The 21895-nt window shown below is 41.4% G+C and overlaps 1 protein-coding gene across 3 annotated transcripts in view, besides 3 other annotated features; it reads left to right on the top strand.

Moving 5' to 3' along the window:
* Positions 4395-4760: a transcriptional cis regulatory region, noted in NCBI's record as "candidate enhancer chr2.3248 targeted for multiplex CRISPR interference". NCBI's record gives its function as "positively regulates KRCC1 gene expression with high confidence in K562 cells {active_cell/tissue: K562}" and the evidence as "EXISTENCE:mutant phenotype evidence [ECO:0000015][PMID:30612741]".
* Positions 6143-6322: an enhancer, noted in NCBI's record as "active region_16167". NCBI's record gives its function as "activates an Ori minimal core promoter by ATAC-STARR-seq in GM12878 lymphoblastoid cells {active_cell/tissue: GM12878}" and the evidence as "EXISTENCE:reporter gene assay evidence [ECO:0000049][PMID:35858748]".
* The window catches only part of KRCC1 (lysine rich coiled-coil 1), a 28579-nt gene continuing 13153 nt past the window's right edge, over positions 6470-21895 (top strand). For 2 of the 3 annotated variants that reach the window (NM_001304526.2, NM_016618.3), the window contains exon 1: positions 6470-6627. The gene's annotated coding sequence lies outside the window, so the exon portion shown is untranslated. Of the gene's footprint in view, positions 6628-6742; positions 6951-21895 lie in introns of those variants that run through there. The other variant, XM_017004292.3, reaches the window with a different exon arrangement.
* Positions 6493-6772: a silencer, noted in NCBI's record as "silent region_11727". NCBI's record gives its function as "represses an Ori minimal core promoter by ATAC-STARR-seq in GM12878 lymphoblastoid cells {active_cell/tissue: GM12878}" and the evidence as "EXISTENCE:reporter gene assay evidence [ECO:0000049][PMID:35858748]".

Genomic DNA, 21895 nt, shown 5'->3' with positions numbered 1-21895 from the left:
CTATGTAGATCAGACACCACCTCCCCACTAGCTCGTCTATAAAACCCTCTTCATTTCAGCGTGGATCAACAACCCATTTTTCTGGGACCCCTCTCTGTAGCAGAAAGCTATTCTCTTTATTTTGCCTGTTGAATTTTTGCTGTTAACCTCACTCTTTGTGTGTCCACATTCTTAATCTCCATGGCTGTGAGACAACAAACCTCAGATGTCACCCCAGACAATTAGGCTGCTTCATTATTGACCTATTGGAGATGACTGGGCAGAGAAGAAAAGATTAAGGAAGCAGGCCGGGCACGGTGGCTCTCATGCCTGTAATCCTAGCACTTTGGGAGGCCAAAGCAGGTGGATCACCCGAGGTCAGAAGTTCCAGACCAGCCTGGCCAACATGGCGAAACCGTGTCTCTACTAAAAACACAAAAATTAGCTGGGCATGGTGGTGGGCACCTATAATGCCAGCTACTAGGGAGACTGAGGCAGGAGAATCACTTGAACCCGGGGTGGAGGACAGAGGTTGCAGTGAGTCGAGATCACACCACTTCACTCCAGCCTGGACAAAAGAGCAAAACTCCATCTCGGAGAAAAAAAAAATTCAGGAAACACATGACAGCCATTGTTGATGTCTTACATCTTGAAATACGGAAAAAGTAGATCCATTCTGCATCTCCTAAGAGATCAATCTAGGGGCCAGGGTGGACATAACTGTGTGACCATGTGATATAGTGATTAGGATCGTAGACTTGAGCTTCACAGACCTTCACAGTCATGTTTCTGTAGATAAGCCCTTCTCCACTCCAGGAAGATGTCAATTTTTCCATTGTTAGTGGTTTTAGTAAGCATCCAGGCACCTTCTTTTTTTGTATCTGAATAAAGAAGGGTAGTGAGAAAGGGAGAAGAATGAAATAGCTCAAGCCAAAGAGCTCCTGGTCCAGGAAAGAGGCTGAGCTGGGAGATTTCAGACAAGGGGATGACAAAAATTACCACTAAGGAACAAGATGTCCAGGCCATCGCTCTGTCTCTATTTCAGCTGAACTCCCCAACACACACATACACACACACATACACAACCCCTCCCCAACACACACATACACACACAAGCCAAGAACATTCCTATGGATACCCAGCATTCCCTCACCCTAAAGAATGTGAGAGGCAATTGATGCAGGATTTACGAAGCAAGGGTCATGCTGGGTCCCTAATCAAAGGTAGCTCAAAGGTAGAAGAAAGGGACATGATGAGGCCAGGAGTAGGGGCTGTTTTGGGAGAGTTATCAGTGTATCATCAAAAGGCTAGGCATGGCTTCAAGTATCCTCTTAATGTAAGAAGGGGCTCTACTTGTTAAATTGCATCATAGGTAGAATCTGTTCCCAGATGCCACTTTGCAGCCCCCAAATCTTTAACTGTAGTCTGTGTTTGTACTACTGCTCTGAGCCTTTGAGCTAATAACCTCAGAGGCCTTGAGAGAGTGAGTACATTTCCCCTGTATGTTGCAATTCAGGGAATATGTACAAATAAGTGTGAAAGAGTGTAGATAGCAATCAAATCCATGTGGTTTGTGATACGTCTTGAATCATTGGGACAGCTTGTGTGTCTGTATTAATACTGTAGCTGTTAATCTATCTATCATACCTGGAAGAGCTCCAGTCATCTCTTTGAAAGACCCACTGGCTGAGCCACACACCTGCAATGATCACCATCTAGTGGCAGATCAAAGGAGCTGCAAGATTTTATATCTGAAGACTACTTTAGTTAAAGGACAGCCCTTATCCCTGGATTTGACCTCCTTTGTACCCAGAGCTAAGGTTCAATTAGACCAAGGTCAAGGTTCCTTAACCTCCAAACTAAGAATGGTTTGTACCTTCTTTAATGGTTGGGAAAAAAATCAAAAGACTATTTTGGCCAGGTGCCGTGGCTCATGCCTGTAATACCAACACTTCAGGAGGACAAAGCAAGAGGATAGCTTGAGCCCAGGAGTTTGAGACCAGCCTGGGCAGCATAGTGAGACCTAATCTCTATAAAAAATAAACAAAATTATCCAGGCAAGTTGTTGCACGACTGTAGTCTCAGCTACTCGGGAGGCTGATGTGGAAAGATCACTTGAGCCCCAGAGGTCAAGGCTGCAGTGAGACGAAATTGTGCCACTGCACTAAGCCTGGGTGACAGAGTGAGATCCTACTTCAGAAAAAAAAAAAAACAAACTATTTTGTGACACATGAAAATTACATGAAATTCAGATTTCAGTGACCATAAATAAAAGTGTATTAGAAAACAGCTGCACTCATTTTTTTTGCGTATTTTCTATGGCTCCTTTCACAGTGCAACAGCAGAGTTGGATAATTGCAACAGAGAACATATGGCCCACAAAGCTGAAAATATTTACTATCTGACCTTTTATACAAAACGTTTGCCAACCCATGCTTAGATTAATAATAGCTTAATACCTGGCAATGTCACATAGGCCCAGAGTTGGGGAGAAGCTCACTGCTTTCAAGTACATTCACTGACTGATTCATTCATTCATTTCATACACTGTGTGAGGGACCTGATCAAGGAAGAAGTTCTTGTGCACAACTACCATTCACATTCCAGGGTGACAGGAACAGGTGTCCTCCTTGATTATCCATGATATCCTGCATAATTGCATCCTTGACAAAACTTCACACTCTCTAGTCCATGTGTTCTTACTAAAAAAGCATGCTTGCTTCCCTCTTTCTCCCTCTGGCTCCAAGAAATCCTTAGTTGTGCAATCCTTTCCTCCCAAGAATTCCTAAATTCACTCATCCTGCATGCATTTATCAGCCCGTGTATCAGGCACCGTGCCCACTGCCCCAGATATAAAGATGAGTAAGGCTGGGCATGGTGGCTCACACCTGTAATCCTACCATTTTGAGAAGCCAAGGCAGGAGGATCACTTTAGTCCAGGAGTTCGAGACCAGCCTTGTCCACATACTGAGAGCCCCGTCTCTACAAAAAATACAAAAATTAGCTGGGTGTGGTGGAGCACACCTGTAGCCCCAGCTACTCAGGAGGCTGAGGCTGGGGGATGACTTGAGCCCAGGAGAAGGCTGCAGTTAGCCACGATCATACTCCTGCACTCCAGCCTGGGTGACAGAGCAAGACCCTCTCTCAAAAAATAAAGTAAAATAGGCGCGGTGGCTCATGTCTGTAATCCCAGGACTTTGGGAGGCCGAGGCGGGCGGATCACAAGGTCAGGAGATCGAGATGATCCTGGCCAACATGGTGAAACCCTGTCTCTACTAAAAATACAAAAATTAACTGGGCATGGTGGCACGTGCCTGTAATCCCAGCTACTCAGGAGGCTGAGGCAGGATAATCACTTGAACCAGGAAGTCAGAGGTTGCAGTGAGCCGAGATCACGCCACTGAACTCCATCCTGGCAACAGAGCAACACTCTGTCTCAAAAAATAATAAAATAAAATAAAATAAAGATGTGTAAAATGTAGGCCCTGTCTTCAAGACATTGACCTTTAAAGGGGATTATGGAAGAGCATGTAAGGGTGGTGAGAGATAGGAGGCTAAGGGGAAGGGTATCCAGGGCTCTGAGGAACCAACGAAAGCTTCGGAGAAGAGACAGACAAGAGAAGTAGGGAGGGTGACCAGAATCTCAGAACCAGAGGAGATCACTTCAGACCCAAGGACATGGCAGCATGTGCAGAGACATGAAGGCCAAGAAACAGCGTGACAGGTGCAACAACTGCAATTGGGAGGCTACTGCGGGAGCTACAGATGCATAAGTAGTATACTTCTCTTTACCATCTGGCACCAGACTACTGCATTTTATGTCCCAGTGTTTCATATACATTTGAAAGCTATTCTAACAGCAACATCTCTTCGAATGTGTGACATTGTTCTTTGCTTACGTTACCACAAGTTTCATGGCACCCTTTGAGGTGGATATTGTGGCCATTTTGAAGATGAAAAAAATGGAGGTTCAGAGAAGTAAGAAATATGTCTGAGGCCTCCTTGTGAAAAACATCTCCAAAGTATAAAACCTGGAAAAACTTTGATCCACACGCACAAGGAGACTGCACAAGAAGGTTAAAGCAGCACCAACTGGAGGAGCAAAAATAGGAAACAAACTCAGTGTCTACCGAAAACGTGTAGGAGAAAGGGTAAGTAGTGGTGCATTCATAAAATGGAATATTATTGAACGGTGAAAGTGAATGAGAACCTCACATATCAGCATGAGTTAATATAAAAAAGGCCATGTAAAAAACATTGCAGATGAATAAACAGTATGTATAATAACACTTACGTAAAGTTCTAAACCATGCAATGCAATATTTCATGTTACTTAGGGGTACATACATATGTAGTAAAATTATAAAGAAATACATGGAAATGAAAAATGCTGAATTTAGAATAGTATTTATTTCTGAGGGAAAGAGAAATTCGTGAGGAAGTGGAGAAGAGGGCATTCCAGAAAGAGGGAGAAGCGTATACAGTACTGTGAGTTGAGTTTTGCAATAGTGTGGTATTTACAGGAATCAGTATAGGTTTAATGTTGCTGAATCACAAGTAATAGCAGGGTGGGGAGGTAAGGGCAGTGGAAAGATAATGAGATCAGGGAGGTGCACAGAAACCTCATAGTACTCAGTTTGACCTTTTCCAACAGACACTGGGGAGCCAGTAATGACTTTTAGAGAGAACCCTTTGGCAGCAATATGGAGAGTAGACTGGAGCAGTTGAAGTCAGAGGGAGATCTTAGCACGTTTCTAGCAAGAGTTGATGAGAATCTGAAATAAGGCAACGGCAATGTGACAGGAAAGTAGAGAATACCCAAAATAAACTCTTCCACAGTATACCAGGAGACGTGCCCATCAACAGGAAAATCAGTGGAGTCGTGTCCAGCAGTGAAATGAACAAATTACAGCTGTCTTCAACAGCTTAGACGAAATTCAAAATATTAAGTGAAACAAACGAGTCCCAGCGTACTGCATAAAGGTGTAAATCTTATAACGTTTAAAAACAATCTAAATGTGTTTTAGCCATGCCTATGTGTGATAATAAATAGAGAAAGGAAATGATGAATACAAACCAGGTTAGTGATTTCTTTGGGAAACAGGGGATGAGATGATGAGATATACACATACATACATATTTGTGTGTATAATGTATATTATAGATGTACATGCTGAAAGAGCAACAGGGAGAGAGAGAAAAAGGTCATTTATGGACCAATGATGACGACGTATGATGACAAAGGATTGTGCTTAATCTACTCTGTGTATTTAGGGCATAATAAAGGAAAGATTATAACTGAGGCTTTATTGTAAAGATCATAAAATGTTTTGTTTTACTTATATTCCTTTTCTTTGTCTTTTTCTTCCTCCATGCATGCTTGCTTGCACGTAGTCATTTCAGTAGAGGGTAGTCACTAGTGATTGATTAACTTCATATCCTAACCCCAGAGTGCAGGCAAGATTGATGAACTTGTTTTTCTTTTAAAGAACAATGGACCTGGCACGGTGGCTCACGCCTGTAATCCCAGCACTTTGGGAGGCCGAGGTTAGTGGATCACTTGAGCCCAGAAGTTCAAGACCAGCCTGGGCAACATAGTGAGACATCCCCACCCCCTGCCCAATCTCTATAAAAAATGAACAAAAATCACCCGGGCATGTGTGCATGCCTGCGGTCCCAGCTACTTGGGAGGCTGAGGTGAGAGGATCGCTTGAGCCTGGGAGGTCGAGGCTGCAGTGAGTGGTGATCCCACCACTGCACTCCAGCCTGGGCGACAACGCGAGACCCTATCACAAACAAAACAACCATGACCCTTAGGTCACGCAGACCTCCTTGATGGTCCAGATGGGGCATCATCTAATGGGGCAGATGAGACCTAGAGTCCCAGGGAGGAAACAGCTTTGATCATGGGGGATCCCACCCTCTGTATTCTTACCTTACTCATAAAGGCCCCCCAGTTACGTTCTAAGGCATGTCAGTATTTGAGAGACTTCTTCTCCCGCTCTCTCGCTTTGGCCAAACGGAATAAACCTTCCCCCGCTCCTAAGCACTGAATATGTCGGTGTTTGGCTTACTGCGCATTTGTTACACGAACCTATATTGTAGGTTCTGTTGATAAGGCAACAGATCATGTATTTTTGAGATACTTTGAGGGTGGAACTGTAAATTTCCAGTTTTTTTTTTTTTAATCAGTTGGCTTTATATTCATTCTCCCAAGGCGAGCGAGCGACCCCCACGAACTTTTCCTTGCCCCAAAAAGGAGGGCAGACGGACAGGATCAAAACCAGTCGCGCCAGCAAGACATTAGAGCCGCGCCGGGAACTGCCAGGCCAAGCGGGCGAAGCAAGCAGCAAGGCGGGGCTCAAGAGGCTTCCTGGGCGCTGGGCTGGCCGCGCAAGCGCAGTAGCGCGTCTCGCCGCCATGGCGTCTGTGCTGTCCAGTCATAAGCCGGTAGTGGCGGCGACTTCCCCTCAGGAAGCCGGGTCTCCGCCTCCTCCTCCCATCCAGCCTGCTCGGCGGCGGAGGCGGCGGTGGCGGCAGCGGTTGTTCCTGCCTCTCCGCCACCTCCACCGCGGCTTATCCCCTGGCTGGCGGCGTTGGCGGGGCGGGGGACAGTAGTTGTAGACGCCCGCCCCTGCCTCAGAGAAGGTGAGTTCCCGCCCCGGCGGCGGGGGCGGCCCGGTCTTCAGCCCCTCAACTCCTGCGCTCCAGGACAGGCCTCGCGCGCCCAGCCCGCCGGGCGCGCCCCGAGTGTGCGAAATGGCCGACCAGGGCGCGGCCCGAGTCCCGCGCACCCCTCACCGGCCGCCGCCCCCGGAAAGAGACGCCAGGGCTTCCGAGTGGAGTGCGGAGGGAAGGGGCGCTCGGCTTGCGGAGGAAGCCGAGGTCGGAGTGGGAAACTAGGGGCGACCAAGAGGAAATCTAGACCCGGAGGAAATCTAGACCCGGAGCGTCAGGGAAAGGGAAGTGGGGTGAGGAAACTCGAAAATTGAGGGGACAGGGATAAATAGAGAAAAGCCCAAACGTGGAAGAGAGTAAGCTTCCGTTTGGTGAAGTTCAGCATCCTGGAAAGTAGAGACTTTGACGTAGGACGCTTAGGGAGAGGTGGATTTAGGAATCGGGGAAAGCAGGAAGTAGCGGGGCCCTTGGGGGAAGAGAAGAGGGGATGAGGTTTAGGGGGGGATCACTTTGGAGTTATCCTAGGCTTTTGAGGATATGGCCCTATAAGACAAGCTTCTAAGATTTATAGGCCCGTCTTGATAGTGATCTGGGGTTTTATGTGTGTGTGCTTTTAATCCTCTAATTTAGAGACGGAGGTCTCGCTGTGCCCAGGCTGGAGTGCAGTGGCGCGATCATAGCTCGCTGCAGCCTCCAGCTCCTGGGCTTAAGCGATCCTTCTGCCTCAGCCTCCGGAGTAGCTGGGACTACGGGCGCGAGCTACCGCGCCCAGCTGAGTTTTAATATGTACCTACCAATGTCAGAGATACACGAAGCTGGACGTTAAAGCGTTGAAAAAGGATTTTATTCCGCAACTCCTGACAGAGGGGAAAGACTGAGCTCCATTCCTATTTTCACCGAGATGACTGCGAGTTTTAAAGGGAGATGAAGGGAGTAGGGAGTGGGAAGAGAGGGCTCAAGTAGAGTCAGGGAGGTGAAAAATTACAAAGTGCTGATCATTGTAAAAACGCAAGTAGGCCAGCTGTGTCTCCTATCTGGGAATTATCTAAGATAAAATACTATCCTCCCACAGAGACTGGGAGTCAGGCCCAGTCCTTCCTGGTTACATTTCAGAGCGATGGCTTTCAGGTCCTTGAGAAAGACACTCCTGAGTTGTAAGAGGTACAAACACATCTCAAAGGAACAGAGGAGGATTCGTAGTTGTGAGCCCTTTTTAGTAAATGCCTTTTAAAAGGGAAGTCAGGGAGCTGTTATTAGGTGTTGGCTAGAACAAACAGTAAAAATTTTTTTGACAGCCTGGCTTTTCCAACAGGAGCTCAAAAGAGGGCTGGATTGCCCTCATGGACGTGGGCTTAGGCTTCTAGAGGCCATGTTAAATTTTGGTCGACTCTCCAAGGATGGGGAGAGCTTTTGCAGTTCTCCAACACATTGCCCCTAACACAAAATGCTATTTCTTATCCATCTTAATCTAAGAGATGTTTGAGTTCTTACTATAATAGTTCTATATGTCTGCAAACAGCCTGCTGGTTGCAAATCATGAGATAAGGCTTAAAGCAGTTTTGGGAATGATTTTAGTTGATAGTGCTTGATCCCACTGCAGAAGACCTAAGTAAAACATTCAGCCATGTTCAGTATCAAATTTTTTAGTGTTTGCTGTGTTGCCTTATGTTGCTTTTTGTCTTCAGAGTGAAAGATGATGGGAGCCAGAATATTGTAGAATAATTTAGATTCCTTTTTCCAAGAGAGACACCTATAAATATAACCCCATAAAAATACTGATTTCTTCTTTATCCTTTTTCATGATGAGATATTGTATTTTGTGTGTTATCCCATAATATTTTACACAATTGACTTTGTGTCTATTGACTTTGGAGAACTGGCGGAGGAGTAAAATACTGCAGATTTCTTAAAACATTTTTGTAAGCACTTTTTCTGTTCACTAAAAATGGGGATTAGTCATTGCAACCAAATGATGAGACTATTAAGTTCTCTTAGTGAAGGCAGTTTTGGAAGACTAGATTTAGTGTCTTCAGTCAGCCTGGATTATTTTGCTTTTATAACACATTTCCTGCCTCTCACTAATAAATAAGCCTGAGCAGTTAAAAGACTACAATTCAGTTTGGCTCACATGGCCAGACCACAGGAAGATTTGGAAACAACTTGTCGTGGAAAAAAGCTTTTTGGCAGACTCAGCATGTGTTTTTGTTTTTGATTTTGCAATGACTTTAAATATGTGCAAAAGACTTTAAAAGATGTCAGTTCACACAGTACTAGCAGTAACCTTTCTATTCCACTTCAGGGTGGTAAAATGAGAATACTGGAATAGGAGTCTGACTAGTTATAGGTTCTAGTGCTAGTTTCTCCTACAGCTAAATGACCCTGAGTAAGTCCCACACTTTCTGGATTTGAGTTTGGTCATCTGTCGGTGGGGGAATTGGACTAGCCCAGTGACTCTCATCTAGGAATGATCGTACCCCCGAGAAGACCTCTGATAATGCGGAGATATTTTAGGTTGTCATCATTGAGCAGAGAGGGAGAAGAGCCAATCATAATTCCAAGAGACAGAATCCTGAATGTTGAAATCCTGAAAGATGAAAATCCCTAAAGTCTAAAATCCTCAAAATCACAGTCACAAAAGACTAAAATGTTGAAAATAATAAATGTGGGAAAAGTACTTTTTTTACTTCTTTAAAATATGTTTGTTTACATTTTTAAAGGGGGATTTATTTAAGAAACAAAAACATGACAACACTTTGTAGGTCATTTCACGCAATGAAAGGCAATAGTAACATTTTGCAGACACAAGTATACTAACAGTCACAACATGCATGTAACAGTTATGAGCAGATGAACTGTATTCATGAAGAAGTAGATCAAAAAGGGAAATGTATAAAAGCATGTCACGATGGTTGGTAGTCGTGTGCACCTAGCTTTATAACTGGTCATCTGAAATACTGTGACAAGTCTTTTGATGAGATAGATCAAAAACTATAATGGGTCACTCACTATTCACTTACGCAGTTGCCCAAAGGGCTGAAACCTCAAGAAATTAAACTATAATGGGTCACTCACTATTCACTTATGCAGTTGCCCAAAGGGGTGAAACCTCAAGAAATTTTTATCTTTCACAAATGCAGATATGCAAAAGACATTTCTTATCTCTTCATTTATTGAGGAAGTTTCAGCGTTTTTAGGTACATGCACAGTGCTTACACACAAAGTCAGTGTTCTGATAATGTACTTTCATGAAGTCAAATTTGCAAAAAATGCATAAGACAAATTAGAACTCTCAGTCTCTGCAGTTTACACTTCCAGTATTGGACATGATGCAAAGATGAAATACATAGCATGGTGAATTATTTTTTTAAAAAAAAGTCTGACAGTTTAAGATAGTGGAAAAAAATAATTTGGCAAATGAGAAAATGTATTACAGGAATAGATTATGGGCAGTTGCACAGAGATAGTCCATGAAAGCTGCCCTAACATGCAGCTATCCTGCAATTGGGATTTTGGCCTTTTGGGATTTCAACATTTGGGATTATCTTCTAAACCCACGAGGAACATGGTGAGCAAGTGCAGGTGCTACCAGCACCTACTTGGCATAGGCCAGAGATGCCACAAATATCCTAAAATACACAAGACAGTTCCCACACTCACACAGCAATGGATTATCCTACTCATAATGCCAGAAGTGTCGAGGTTGAAGAACCCTGCACCAACCAAACTCAGTTCTTTTACAGCTTTAAAATTGTGAACTGATTTAACACATCTGTGTTGGTATTCTTTCCATGGCTTGACATGGCTGGGTACTAAAATTGTAATTCATAAAGCATATGAAACTTTGACCTATAATGGCTGACATTCAAAAAGTAATCTCAGATGACATTCAGAGTAATCTCTGTTAAGGTTGAGACTATTCACTAGAATTTCAAAAACAATATAATTGTTACCTAAAAAATTACCTATTGTCACTTTACTTCCGGTAAATATCTTTCATTAAAATTTCAGTTACTGCCACTTGACAATTGGCAAATATTTGATATGTCACACTATCTAAAACATGGCTAGGACTCAATATATTTTTATTTTAGGTATGTATAAGAGTTAATTGCCAATGGAAAAAAGGTTGCTTGCACTTAGCTAGAATTTTTTTAAGACTTTGTTAGCAGATTCCTCCAAAGGTATCAAAGAATTGTCATGTTTCCAGTTATTAAAATTCTACTCTGACTTTCAAAATTCCGATAGGACCATTAAAACTGATTTGAAGAGCATCTGCTAATCCATTTTCACCTATACCGATCCTTCTGAGGAACTCCTCTGTATTGGTCTGGATAAAGAGCAAATATCAGTAAGGATTAAAAATTGGCAAAGGTTGTTCATGGTGGTTTACGCCTGTGATCCCAACACTTTGAGAGGTCAAGGCCAGAGGATTGCTTGAGCCCAGGAGTTTGAAATCAGCTTGGGCAAAATAGTGAGACCCTGTCTACAAAAAAAAAAAATAAAAATTAGCCAGGCATGGCCCCGCATGCTTGTAGTCCCAGCTACTTGGGAGGCTGAGGTAGGAGGACTGCTTGAATCCAGGAGGTCGAGGCTACGGTGAGCTGTGATCACACCACTACACTTCAGCCTGGGTGACAGAGCAAGACCCTGTCTCAAAAAAAAAAAAAAAAAGCAAGTAAGGAAGATATAGAAGGCATAAGGTTACAAATAGGAAATGGAAAAAATTAATCACAAAAATCCAAAGAAACACCATGTTTCCATAGTTAAAAGAAATAGACATACTTAGAATTTATTATTGTGGTGTCAAGATTTTCCAGGACACTTTGTAATTTATTTGGTGAAGTTTCTCAAACACTTTTGACAGTTAAAAAAAGTTTCACTAAATAATGGTATTCCTGAGTAATCATAGTAAAAACAAAACTACAACAAAAATTCTTGGTTATCTACCTGTTTTTATTTTTTATTTATTTATTTTTTGAGACGGAGTCTCTGTCATCCAGGCTAGAGTGCAGTGGTACAATCTTGGCTCACTGCAACCTCTCCCTCCCTGGTTCAAGTGATTCTCTTGCCTCTGCCTCCCACGTAGCTGGGATTACAGGCATGCACCACCATGCCCAGCTAATTTTTGTGTTTTATTAGTAGAGACAGGATTTCACCGTGTTGGCTGGGCTGGTTTTGGACTCCTGACTTCAAGTGATCTGCCTACCTCAGCCTCCTGAAGTGCTGGGATTACAGGTGTGAACCACCGCACCCAGCTCTACCTGTTTTTAAGAAAAAGAAAAAAAATTGACTCGGTTTTGGAGTGAAGGACATTTCTGGCTACTTATTGAGTAATTAACTCATTTACATAGTAATTGCCTAAAAATATTTTCGTTTGTTTCCATGATATTAAGCGGAGACTCAAGTTAAACAACATAAAGAAAATCTAGCTAATAACCCTTCTTAAGTTTATTCAGAAAACATTTTTGAGTTCCTGTTATGTGCCAGATATTATACTTGGTACTAAGGGTATACAGATGAATTAGGCCAGCCCTTTTAAAGAGCTCAATAGTTGTATTTATTAATGAAATTAGGGAGAAAAATAAAGAGCAATTGGAGAAAATGTAGTTTTAAATATGGATTAGTCAGACTCCTGAGATATCAGGAGTAGTTCATTGTTTTGCATAAATATGTGCTCTGCACATGACATGTTTGTTACAGGCACACCAGAGCACATTATGTTAATGTAGATCTGAAGTTGGCAGCCTGGAAGAATGATTAGAGTGTGTCTGGAGAAACATTAATGATTATTTGTTAGTTTCAGACTTGCTGCCTTTATTAGGTGTCAGTAAGTGAAAATATTAACTAAGCATGTTAAAATGACTAAGAATTGCCCCTACTACATTCACCACATATGTTAGGACAGAAGTGTTGATCTCAGTTTTTGTTTGTTTTTGTTTTTCTTTTGAGACAGGGTCTCACTCCGATTGCCCAGGCTGGAGTGCAGAGGCACAATTTCAGCTCACTGCAGCCTCGACTTCCCCAGGCTCAGGTGATTCTCCCACCTCAGCCTCCTAAGTAGGTGGGACTATGGGCACATGCCACCATGCCCAGCTAGTTTTTTTGTATTTTTAGTAGAGACGGGGTTTCACCATGTTGCCTAGGCTGGTCTGGAACTCTGGACTCAAACGATCCACCTACTTCAGCTTCCCAAGGACGTAAGCATTGATACGCTTCCCCCTTCTTACAAACCCATTCACATTAACTAACCCATTAGAAGGAATGGCGCATGTTTGATGTTCTTTGATGTAGGATATCTGCCTTGGATCCAAGTAAAACTAACTTCACAAGCATGATCCCTGAGGTAGCTAGCCATAGAGTACTTATGATTATTGGCATTCAAAGACTTACTTTAAATAAAAAGATAAATTTGATACTAAACATGTACTCCCAATTAATGACTTTGTTACTTCATTTGTATTTTGTCATTGGGAATATGCCATAATAAACCCTTAGTTATTTTTGTAATTGTTGTATTAATGTAAAGTAGCTAGAACATGGCAAACTGTAGATCAGACACTAGTCTCATTTCCTGAAAAAGCAAGATTAACAATGAGCATTATATTATAGCAAAGAGTATTCATGCTGTTGACAGGTATTGGGCTGCATTGTTACCCCAATTAAGTTCTCTGAAAACACTTTAAATAGGATTTGACCTCTGGGGAAAAAAGGAATCAAACAACATGTTTTGGCAAAGATAACAGAATCAGTTGCCTAGTCTCCCAAAATTTAGTGCTGTGCTCTGCGTGGTCTTTACTAAGATTAAGATAGTATTGGATTACAGAACTCCCTAAGAGCAGGCATAAAACAAGGATGTCCATTCTCACCGCTTCTATTCATTATTGTACTAGAGCGCCTAGCCAGTACATTCAGGCAAGAAAAATAAAAGGTTTACAGATTGGCAAGAAATAATACTGTCTTTATTTGCAGAGTATATGATCATCTATGTAAAAAGCCCCATAGAATCTAGGAAAAGGCAACTAGAATAGTGAGTTCAGCAGGGGAGTAAAGTACAAGTTCTATATATGTAATCAATAGTATTTCTAAATGCCAGCAAAAAGCTATTAGAAACATTTTTTTAAAAATACTATTTACTGTTATATCAAAAAACAAAACTGCATTCATAGGCCTTCTCATAAAACATAAGATACTTTTAGATAACTTCAATAAAATACGTTGAGGCCAGGCCCAATACACCTGTAATCCCAGCACTTTGGGAGGCCAAGGCAGGTGGATCACTTGAGGTCAGGAGTTAGAGACCAGCTTGACCAACATGGTGAAACCCTGTCTCTACTAAAAATACAAAATTAGCCAGCCATGGTAGCGCACGCCTGTAATCCCAGCTACTCAGGAGGCTGAGGCAGGAGAATTGCTTGAACCCAGGAGGTGAAGGTTGCTGTGAGCCGAGATCCCACCACTGCACCCCAGCCTGCGCAACAAGAGTGAAACTCCCATCTCAAAAAAAAAAAATACACTGAAAATGACATAACATTGCTGACAGAAAAAAAGGTGCAAATGATGGAGAGATATAAAATGTCTCCTAATATATGTTAGTGAGTTAGATTGAAAAGTCTAGGACCATGTCAGTAATTTGGTGTATTTATTAGAGAGGAAGAAGTAAGCTACTGACACCTAAAATATAACCAAATTAGCATCCTAATTTTGCTCATAAAATTTTTTCCTCAAAGATTAAAGATATTTAGTAACCATTTAAAAACCTATTATGCTGGCCAAACATGGTGGCTCATGCCTGTAATCCCAGCACTTTGAGAGGCCGAGGCGGCAGATCACTTGAGCTCATGAGTTTGATACCAGCCTGGGCAACATGGTGAAACCCCGGTTCTACTAAAAATACAAACAATTAGCCAGGCGTGGTGGTGTGTGCCTGTAGTCCCAGCTACTCGGGAGGCTGAGGTGTGAGGATCACTTGAGCCTGGGAGGCGGAGGCTGCAGTGAGCCAAGATCACGCCACCGCACTCTAGCCTGGGAGACAGTGAGACCCTGTCTCAAAAAAACACAAACCTATTATGCTGTTATGATTAAATGCCATTATCACAACAGGTCACGCTGTGAGGCATGAAAATTTTTATTACATTTTTTATTCAAATTCAGTTGATTTATTCATCAAACATGAGATGTCTGAAAAACATTTCATATGGTGCAAGAGTTAAATTAGGCAGGGCACAGTGGCTCATGCCTGTAATCCCAGCACTTGGGAGGCCGAGGCAGGAGGATCGCTTGAGCCCAGGAGTTTGAGACCAGCCTAGGCAACATAGCAAGGCCCTGTTCTTTAAATAAATAAATAAATAAATAATTCAGCGTCAAGTTGCGTTTTGTGAGAAACATGTTCAAAAAGTTAAATTCAGGTTTTGCTGTTTCTAAAAGGTAGGTAGAATGTAACAGATTGGTAAATCTAGAATTAAGAAAAGTAGAATGATTCCTAGTATTTAAGATATGAAGCTCTTTTTAGACAGTTTTGAATTATGAGTCATGTGTTTCATATTTAATACAGTAGTTGATGTGCAGTTTTTGTTACTTTAACTTTCACAGTGGTTTTACATATTTTTACTGAAATAAAGACCTGGCTGGGCATGGCGGCTCATGCCCATAGTCCCACTGCTTTGGGAGGCTGAGGCAGGTGGATTCCTTCAGCCCAGAGGTTCGAGACCAACCTGGGCAACAAAGCAAGACCTCATGTCTGCAAAAAAAATATAAAAAATAAGCTGGGCTTAGTGGCAGATGCCTGTAGTCCCAGCTACTGGGGAGGCTGAGGCAGGAGGATCAATTGAGCCTGGGAGGTTGAGGCTGCTGTGAGTCGAGATTGCACCACTGCACTCTAACCTGGGTGACAGAATGAGACCATGTCTCAAAAAAACCAAACAGAAAGTTGGTTCAAAATCAGAGCAATTAGAAAAGAGAGTAAGGATCAGGTCCATCCTTCAACTTCCATAAATACAGTCCCTCTAAAACATCAGTTAGCTTGAAATACAAAGAATTAGGTACTCCTTTCAGATACTTCTGCCTTGTTTATGGGTAACCATATTTGTCTTTCTGTAGTTACTAGACTAATTGGTTGGGAGAACATCTCACTATGTCAGTTAAATAGACAAAATCCTGAACCACAATACAAATAGTTCATCCATACAGCACTTACCTTGTTCCATGCATTCTTCTAAGTGCTTTGCATGTATTAATTTCTATAAGGACCACAACTTTTTGAGGTATATGTTATGTCTCTATTTTAGAGGTAAGGAACCTAAGGCGGAGAGGTTAAGAAGCTTGACCAGGGTTACATAACTTAATAAGTGGCAGAACTGATTCCAGGCTTCCTATATCTGTTTCACTCAAAGGAGCAATGGAGCTAAGTAACAGTATTACAGTCACTAGTTCTTAGTAGTGCCTGAAGTGACTTAACCTTTGTTGGGTGGATGATCTTTCTGGAAACAAAGCCAACATTTCAAAATCAGTTTAAGGTAGAATTATCTCTTATTCCAAAAAAAGTTTAAACTCCTTTAGTTACTTTATTGAGGTACATTTTACTTATAATAAACTCCACACATATAACATGTACAATTCAGGCCGGGCACGGTGGCTCACGCCTGTAATCCTGGCACTTTGGGAGGCCGAGGTGGGTGGGTCACCTGAAATCAGGAGTTTGAGACCAGCCTGGCCAACATGGTGAAACCCTGTCTCTACTAAAAATACAAAAATTGGGCATGATGTCTCATGCCTGTAATCCCAGCTACTCGGGAGGCTTAGACACAAAAATTGATTGAACCCAGGAGGCAGAGGTTGCGGTGAGCCAAGATTGCACCACTACACTCCAGCCTGAGCGACAGAGTGAGACTCTGTCTCAAAAAAAAAAAAGTACAATTCAATGAATTTGTGATAGGTGTATGCTCCCATGAAACCACTATCATAAGCAAAATGTCAAACATTTCCATCAACCCCAAAAGTACTTATGCCCCTTTACAATCCATTCGCCCCTCTACCTCTATCCCTGGGCAACCATTGATCTGCTGCTATTACTAGAGATTAGTTTGCATTTCTAGAACTTTTTATAAATAGAATCATACAGTAGATACTCTTTCATGTCTGTCTTTCGCTCAGCGTGATGGTTTTGAGATTCATCCGTGTTGCATGTGTTGCTGTTTTGTTCCTTTTTATGTCTGAATAATTGTATGGGTATATATCACATTTTGCTTATCTGTTCAGCTGTGGATGGACATTAGAGTTGTTTCAGGTTTTGGCTGTTACAAATAAAGCTGCTGTGAACATTCATAGACAAATCTGCATGGATATGTTTTCATGTCAAATACACAGTTGTAGAATGGCTAGGTCATATGGTAGCTATGTATTTAACTTCATAAAAAATTAAGCTGGGTGGCTGATAATTTTTTACAGTGGCTCACACCTGTAAACCCAGCACTTTGGGAGGCCAAGATGGCCAGATTGCTTGAGCCCAGGAGTTAGAGACCAGCCTGGGCAACATGGCAAAACCTCATCTCTACAAAAAAAAAAAGTACAAAAAATTAGCCAGGCATGATGGCATGAACCCATAGTCCATCTACTCAGGAGGCTGAGATGGAAGGATAATTTGAGCCCAGGAGGTCAAGGCTGCAGTAAGTTATGATCATGCCACTGCACTCTAGCATGAGCTACTCCATCTCCAAAAAAAAAAAAAAAAAAAAAATTATCAAACTCCTTTGTAAAATTATTGTACCATTTGACATTTTAGCCAGCAATGTATGGGAGTTCTAGTTATTTAACATCTTTACCAGCACTTGTTATTCTTAGTCCTTTAATTTTAATCATTCTAGTGAGAGTGTAGTGGTATCTCATTTATTTTTATTTTTATTTTTTTACTAGACAGCATGGCTCTTTTCAGTTTATTGCATGAAGAAGTTACGTTAGTCCAAGTTAAAAGCAGACCCCTCATTGTGGTTTAATTCATATTTACTTAGTCATTAGTATATATTCTTTTCTGAAGTATCTGTTCAGACCTTTTGCCCTTTTTAAATTGAGTTTGTCCTATAATTGAGTCATAAAAAGTCTTTATATCTTCTAGATGTAAGTCCCTTGTCTGATACGTTAGTTGAGAATATTTATCCTATATTCTGTGGCTTGATTTTCTTTTTTCTTTTTTTTTTTTTTTGTTTTCTTTTGTAGAGACAAGGTCTTGGTACATTGCCCAGGCTGGTCTTGAACTCCTGGACTCAAGTGATCCCTGCTGCGTTGTCCCCCTAAAGTGCTGAGACTGCAGGCGTTAGCCACTGTGCCCAGCCAGTTTCCATTTTTTTAATGGAGAGATATGTAAAACATGGAGATCAGAAAATGTTTCAGATTTTTAAGGAGGAGAAATGGATATCAGAATGTAGACTGAGAAGTTTTACATCAGTTAGGAAGGCAGCATGCCACAAGTCAGTAACAGATTATGGAGCCAGACTGCCTTGTCATTTACTAACTGCAACCATGGACATGTTCCTTAACCTTTCTGTGCTTCAGTTTCCTCTTCTATAAGATATAGAAAGTAATTGTACTGAGCCCATAGAGTTCTTATGAGGATAAAATTAGTAACGTGAGGCCGGGCGCAGTGGCTCATGCCTGTAATCCCAGCACTTTGGGAGGCTGAGGTGGGTGGATCACCTGAGGTCAGGAGTTGGAGAGCAGCCTGACCAACGTGGAGAAGCCCCATCTCTACTTAAAAAAATACAAAAAAATTAGCTGGGCTTGCTGGCACATGCCTGTAATCCCAGCTACTCGGGAGGCTGAGGCAGGAGAACCGCTTGAACCCGGGAGGCAGAGATTGCAGTGCGCCAAGATGGTGCCATTGCACTCCAGCCTAGGCAGCAAGAGCAAAACTTCATCTCCATAAAAAAGTTACTATGTATAAGTGCTTGGAACAGTACCTAATACATTGTAAGGGCGATGCTGTAAAAGTGTTACAGGACAGGTTATTAATAGGTCGCTTGTGAATGTGATACTTTGAAATAAACATTAAAAGGCAATATGCATTTATTGAAAACACAAGTCATGCCATGCCTAGTTTCTTTTATGAAAGATTACTAATAAATCAAAAGAATGTTGCAGGACCATATTTCTTTAGTGAGCATAATGAGATTCCCTGAGGTTTCTGAGATACAAGATTGTGCCAGGAATATACTTGAAGTTTAATTGGCATAATTTATTCAGAGATTAAATAATGACTTTTTATATGAAATGGAAGTTTTAAGACTAGAGTTCAAGAAGTTCATGAGTTGTTAAGGTAAACCATGAAACTTGAAATACTTCTGCTGTGTGTGTGATTGATCTCTTTAAGCTGTAACCCCTAGACCTCCTGACTACAAGAGTTTACTCCTATCTGCCTATAGATTGTTTTGGTCAAAATGATTGAGATTGAGAACCACTGCTGTAGAAAGGATGGTTACAATTTTAGAAGGGCATTTCCTGTATTTCAAATATCAACAAAATGGAAAAATAAGACTTCAGTGTAGTACAAACAGATCAGACCCGTAAGAAGGAGAGTAGTAGGGAGTAGAGTGGAGAAGCATAGTGTTAAAAAAGATGCTGAATTTGATTTTGAAATAAACTCAGATGTTATCAAGTTATTAATATCTTTCTAATTAAACCCATAGATTGCTAATAAATAGATAAATCCTAGATGCAAGAAGAGAGTAGATTCTTTGTAGCATGCCATAGGTATTATCTTGCCCTTATCCTGCTTAAAGTTTTCACCAGTAATGTGAATGAAGTCATAGACTGAATGCATATAAAAAGTATGTGTGGGAGCCATAGCAAATACCAAGATTAAGATCATTTGAATTTTAAAAAATTCTCAGGTGGCTGCGGTGGCTCACAACTGTAATCTCAGCCTTGGGGAGACCAAGGGAGGAGGATCGCTTGAGGCCAGGAGATCAAGACCAGCTTGGGCAACATAATGAGATTCCTGTTTCTACAAAATATTATTTAAAATTAGCTGGGCATGCTAGCACATGCCTATAGTCCTAGCTATTCTGGTGGCTGAGGCGAGAGGATCACTTGAGCCCGGGAGTTAAGGCTGCAGCGAGCTATGATCATGCCTCTGCACTCCAGCCTCAGGGACTCTGGTTTTTTAAAGAAAGAAAGAGAGAGGTGGGGTGGGGGTGGGCAGTCAAAGAAAAGAAACAAAGAGAAACCTCATTTAGGAATAGTGGTCTAGGCCGGGTGCAGTGGCTCACGCCTGTAATCCCAGGACTTTGGGATTCCGAGGGGGTTGGATCATGAGGTCAGGAGATCGAGACCATCTTGGCTAACACAGTGAAACACTGTCTCTACTAAAAATACAAAAAATTAGCCGGGTGTGGTGGCAGGTGCCTGTAGTCCCAGCTACTCAGGAGGCTGAGTCAGGAGAATGGCGTGAACCTGGGAGGCGGAGCTTGCAGTGAGCTGAGATTGTGCCACTGCACTCCAGTCTGGGGGACAGAGGGAGACTACATCTGGAAAAAAAAAAAAAAAAAAAGATAATGGTCTAAACCCATAACAAGATGAAGTATTAATTCCTGCATTTAGAAAAATAATTCAGTCAACATCCATATCACATGGGAGAAGATAGCCAATATCGGGGGGGAGAGATGCTACCTCCAGGATTTTAACAATTGTAAAGGTCATTAGAAACCAATAATATGATGACTATTTAAAAAATAACTAATGCTAAAATAAAATGGTAAGGATGAAAATAATGTCCAGGTTAGAGGAAGAGATAATTTCACTTTACTCCACAACAATCACAGTCTGTGTTCTTCAAACTATATAATGCTGCAACCTTTGTAATGAGTAAATATATAGTAATCACTATGCAAGTGAAAGAGAGGTGATGTCAAAATTTTCTGAGGAAAGATTTCTACAAATGCCTAGAGTTCACTACCGAGCTTTCTTTCCTCTAGTGGTTCCTGTTACCCATCATGTGTACTGAAGTTTGATACATATACAATTAGTTCAGGGACCCAACTGTTTTAATTTGTAAGGAATTTCAAGGTACATAAAACATCTGCAGGTTGTTTAAACCCAACTTGACATAGAGGTATTAAACACATAGAAGAATGGAACAGGAAAGGAGAGATGTGCAAGATACTATACATTTGATAGAATCTGGATTTGTTCCAAAATCAAATTCACTGCTTTTTGAATGCTTAATGCTTATTCATTCCACTCCCTACTTCTCTCCTTCTGGGGGATAACAACAACAGTAACAACTCTTCTTCCTCTTCCTTACTTTCTCTGTCAAAGATAACTTTACGCAGGATCAAGGCCTTAGAATTGTCTCTGCCCCCACTCTCCCGTCTATCTGCTCTTCCCAGCTATCACAAATTCCTTTGATTCCACCTTTAGAATATCTCTCATATTCTTCCCTTCCTTTCTGTTAGCTCTGCTACTTTTTTGGTGCAGCCCAATAATCTCTTGCCTGCAACAGCTACCTAACAATATCTCCATTTTGAGTCTCTTTTTCTTCCCCTATTGACTGCAGAATTAAATCCAAATGTCCAAATAAGGCATATTATGATTTAGCATCATTCCACCTTTAGCACTGTCTTTCACTACCTTTATGCATGTCTTGTTTTATCTAAAGCAGAAATGCCTTTTCTAATGCCCTTCTGTCCTCCAGAATACCCTTTCTTTACTCATGTTTTTTTCTCTAAATTTTACCCATCTCCTTAAGTGTCCATTCAGAATCTATTCTTTACCACAAACCCCTCACCAAGAACACATTATACCTTCTTATGTCTTACAGCACTTTACACATTTTTGTCTTGCATCATAGTTCTTTGCATATCATTTTTTACAAAATTATGAATTCCTCAATATTAACAATTGTCTTGTTCACTTATTCCCAATGTGTGGAACAGCTATGTGTAATGTAAGGGAAAGGGTTGAGATAAACCAAGGTTTAATATCTGCCTTTATCAAATAGCACATGTGGCAACATATTTTAATTTCTTTAAATCCCAATATCCTAATCTTTATGAGAAATTCTTGCAAAAGTAAAAAACAGAAACAATAATCTGTTGTTTGGCATACAGTAGGCATTCGATAAGGTTCATCTCTTTTTTCCTATCCTTTCCCACAGTACTCACCAGAGTACCTTGAAGACAAACTCAATAAGTAGTGATAAAGTTTAATAAAGTCCAAAAGCATGGAGAACTTGAACTAAATAATGTTATAG

Source organism: Homo sapiens, chromosome 2, assembly GCF_000001405.40.
Source record: "Homo sapiens chromosome 2, GRCh38.p14 Primary Assembly".
NCBI lineage: Eukaryota > Metazoa > Chordata > Mammalia > Primates > Hominidae > Homo > Homo sapiens.
Note: the sequence above shows the minus strand (reverse complement) of the source record. Positions and strands in the feature narration are given on the sequence as shown.